This window comes from Homo sapiens, chromosome 8, assembly GCF_000001405.40.
Source record: "Homo sapiens chromosome 8, GRCh38.p14 Primary Assembly".
In the NCBI taxonomy this organism is placed as follows: domain Eukaryota; kingdom Metazoa; phylum Chordata; class Mammalia; order Primates; family Hominidae; genus Homo; species Homo sapiens.
Genome location: NC_000008.11, coordinates 114583572 through 114587450, shown reverse-complemented (window position 1 = coordinate 114587450; position 3879 = coordinate 114583572). Strand labels below are relative to the sequence as shown.

The 3879-nt window shown below is 43.5% G+C and overlaps 2 annotated features.

Annotated features, from left to right (window-relative positions):
* Positions 508-1399: an enhancer, noted in NCBI's record as "NANOG-H3K27ac-H3K4me1 hESC enhancer chr8:115598281-115599172 (GRCh37/hg19 assembly coordinates)". NCBI's record gives its function as "activates a minimal SCP1, AML or CMV promoter by ChIP-STARR-seq in naive H9 embryonic stem cells {active_cell/tissue: H9 hESC(naive)}" and the evidence as "EXISTENCE:reporter gene assay evidence [ECO:0000049][PMID:30033119]".
* Positions 1400-2292: an enhancer, noted in NCBI's record as "NANOG-H3K27ac-H3K4me1 hESC enhancer chr8:115597388-115598280 (GRCh37/hg19 assembly coordinates)". NCBI's record gives its function as "activates a minimal SCP1, AML or CMV promoter by ChIP-STARR-seq in naive H9 embryonic stem cells {active_cell/tissue: H9 hESC(naive)}" and the evidence as "EXISTENCE:reporter gene assay evidence [ECO:0000049][PMID:30033119]".

Genomic DNA, 3879 nt, shown 5'->3' with positions numbered 1-3879 from the left:
TCAAAAATGTTTATAAAAGGATGCATAAGAATTCTTGAAGAAACTGAGTTTTAAATTCAGTTTTGTGAGAGTTTAATTTAATTTATAATATTTAAAACAACAGACAGAAAATCCAAGTTTTGTAACTCATATAATAAACATTTCTCCTACTAAGATGCTTTTAGATTTTGTATTTTGTATCTGCCTACATTGAGAAATAGAATTAACTGAAATTGTATCCAGTAAAAGTCATTTCTCTTTTGCCTTTTGTAAACAAGTCAGATAATTGTTTAATAAATCCATAATTTTCTCATCACTTGACTACAATTTCCAGTATAATATCTCAGAGAACAATTTCCTCTATTACTATCTATTTCCTGTGATTTTATTTAAAGCTATTATTACTGGAAAGATCTCTGCTAATCAACCTTACATTTTCTGATCCTCTAATTACCTTTATAACCCATATGCAAGATATAACTCCCCTCGTATTATTCCTTTATGACTGTTCAGGACGATAATGATAATGCAGATGCTATTCCAACCACAGCAAATATTTATTCAGCACCCATTAGGTGTCGAGTGCTGTGCTAAGTTTTGAACGTCAGCTATGATCCTATGGAAAAGTCTGTGTTGGCCAAGAGCGGTGGCTCACGCCTGTAATCCCAACCCTTTGGGAGGCCAACGCGGGTGGATCACCTGAGGTCAGGAGTTTAAGACCAGCCTGGGCAACATGATGAAACCCCATCTCTACTAAAAATACAAAAATTAGCTGGGCGCAGTGGCGCGTGCCTGTAATCCCAGCTACTCAGGTGGCTGAGCCAGGGGAATCGCTTGGGCCCGGGAAGCAGAGATTGCAGTGACCCGAGATAGCGCCATTGCATTCCAGCCTGGCCGACAGAGCGAGACTCCCTCTCAAAAAAAAAAAAAAAAAAAAGTCAGTGTTTTACATCACAATCTTTGTACAGACACGTTTACTGCAAATAGATCCATAGCAAATATATAGAAACTTTTCAACACATGTCATGGATAGATAGTCCTTCTTTTTCTGAGTTTATAGGAAATAGATACTTACCTGCTTCTATTAAGAAATAGGACCCGGGAGGAGCCAAGATGGCCGAATAGGAACAGCTCCGGTCTACAGCTCCCAGCGTGAGCGACACAGAAGACAGGTGATTTCAGCATTTCCATCTGAGGTACCGGGTTCATCTCACTAGGGAGGGCCAGACAATGGGCGCAGGTCAGTGGGTGCGCGCACCATGCACGAGCCGAAGCAGGGGAGGCATTGCCTCACTTGGGAAGCGCAAGGGGTCAGGGAGTTCCCTTTCTGAGTCAAAGAAAGGCGTGACGGATGGCACCTGGAAAATCGGGTCACTCCCACCCGGAATACCGCACTTTTCCGACGGGCTTAAAAAACGGTGCACCACGAGATAATATCCCGCACCTGGCTCGGAGGGTACTACGCCCACAGAGTCTTGCTGATTGCTAGCAGAGCAGTCTGAGATCAAACTGCAAGGCGGCACCAAGGCTGGGGGAGGGGCGCCCGCCATCGCCCAGGCTTGATTAGGTAAACAAAGCAGCCTGGAAGCTCGAACTGGGTGGAGCCCACCACACCTCAAGGAGGCCTGCCTGCCTCTGTAGGCTCCACCTCTGGGGGCAGGGCACAGACAAACAAAAAGACAGCAGTAACCTCTGCAGACTTAAATGTCCCTGTCTGACAGCTTTGAAGAGAGCAGTGGTTCTCCCAGCACGCAGCTGGAGATCTGAGAACGGGCAGACTGCCTCCTCAAGTGGGTCCCTGACCCCTGACCCCCGAGCAGCCTAACTGGGAGGCACCCTCCCAGCAGCGGCACACTGACACCTCACACGGCAGGGTATTCCAACAGACCTGCAGCTGAGGGTCCTCCCTGTTAGAAGGAAAACTAACAAACAGAAAGGACTTCCACACCAAACACCCATCTGTACATCACCATCATCAAAGACCAAAAGTAGATAAAACCACAAAGATGGGGAAAAAACAGAACAGAAAAACGGGAAACTCTAAAAAGCAGAGTGCCTCTCCTCCTCCAAAGGAACGCAGTTCCTCCCCAGCAACGGAACAAAGCTGGATGGAGAATGACTTTGGCGAGCTGAGAGAAGAAGGCTTCAGACGATCAAATTACTCTGAGCTATGGGAGGACATTCAAACCAAAGGCAAAGAAGTTGAAAACTTTGAAAAAAATTTAGAAGAATGTATAACTAGAATAAACAATACAGAGAAGTGCTTAAAGGAGCTGATGGAGCTGAAAACCAAGGCTCGAGAACTACGTGAAGAATGCAGAAGCCTCAGGAGCCGATGCAATCAACTGGAAGAAAGGGTATCAGCAATGTAAGATGAAATGAATGAAATAAAGCGAGAAGGGAAGTTTAGAGAAAAAAGAATAAAAAGAAATGAGCAAAGCCTCCAAGAAATATGGGACTATGTGAAAAGACCAAATCTACGTCTGATTGGTGTACCTGAAAGTGATGGGGAGAATGGAACAAAGTTGGAAAACACTCTGAAGGATATTATCCAGGAGAACTTCCCCAATCTAGTAAGGCAGGCCAATGTTCAGACTCAGGAAATACAGAGAACGCCACAAAGATACTCCTCGAGAAGAGCAACTCCAAGACACATAATTGTCAGATTCACCAAAGTTGAAATGAAGGAAAAAATGTTAAGGGCAGCCAGAGAGAATGGTCGGGTTACCCTGAAAGGGAAGCCCATCAGACTAACAGCGGATCTCTCGGCAGAAACCCTACAAGCCAGAAGAGAGTGGGGGCCAATATTCAACATTCTTAAAGACAAGAATTTTCAACCCAGAATTTCATATCCAGCCAAACGAAGCTTCATAAGTGAAGGAGAAATAAAATACTTTACAGACAAGCAAATGCTGAGAGATTTTGTCACCTCCAGGCCTGCCTTACAAGAGCTCCTGAAGGAAGCACTAAACATGGAAAGGAACAACCGGTACCAGCCGCTGCAAAATCATGCCAAAATGTAAAGACCATTGAGACTAGGAAGAAACTGCATCAACTAATGAGCAAAAGAACCAGCTAACATCATAATGACAGGATCAAATTCACACATAACAATATTAACTTTAAATGTAAATGGACTAAATGCTCCAATTAAAAGACACAGACTGGCAAATTGGATAAAGAGTCAAGACCCATCAGTGTGCTGTATTCAGGAAACCCATCTCACATGCAGAGACACACATAGGCTCAAAATAAAAGGATGGAGGAAGATCTACCAAGCCAATGAAAAACAAAAAAAGGCAGGGGTTGCAATCCTAGTCTCTGATAAAACAGACTTTAAACCAACAAAGATCAAAAGAGACAAAGAAGGCCATTACATAATGGTAAAGGGATCAATTCAACAAGAAGAGCTAACTATCCTAAATATATATGCACCCAATACAGGAGCACCCAGATTCATAAAGCAAGTCCTGAGTGACCTACAAAGAGACTTAGACTCCCACACATTAATAATGGGAGACTTTAACACCCCACTGTCAACATTAGACAGATCAACGAGACAGAAAGTCAACAAGGATACCCAGGAATTCAACTCAGCTCTGCACCAAGCAAACCTAATAGACATCTACAGAACTCTCCACCCCAAATCAACAGAATATACATTTTTTTCAGCACCACACCACACCTATTCCAAAATTGACCACATACTGGGAAGTAAAGCTCTCCTCAGCAAATGTAAAAGAACAGAGATTATAACAAACTATCTCTCAGACCACAGTGCAATCAAACTAGAACTCAGGATTAAGAATCTCACTCAGAACCGCTCAACTACATGGAAACTGAACAACCTGCTCCTGAATGACTACTGGGTACATAATGAAATGAAGGCAGAAATAACGA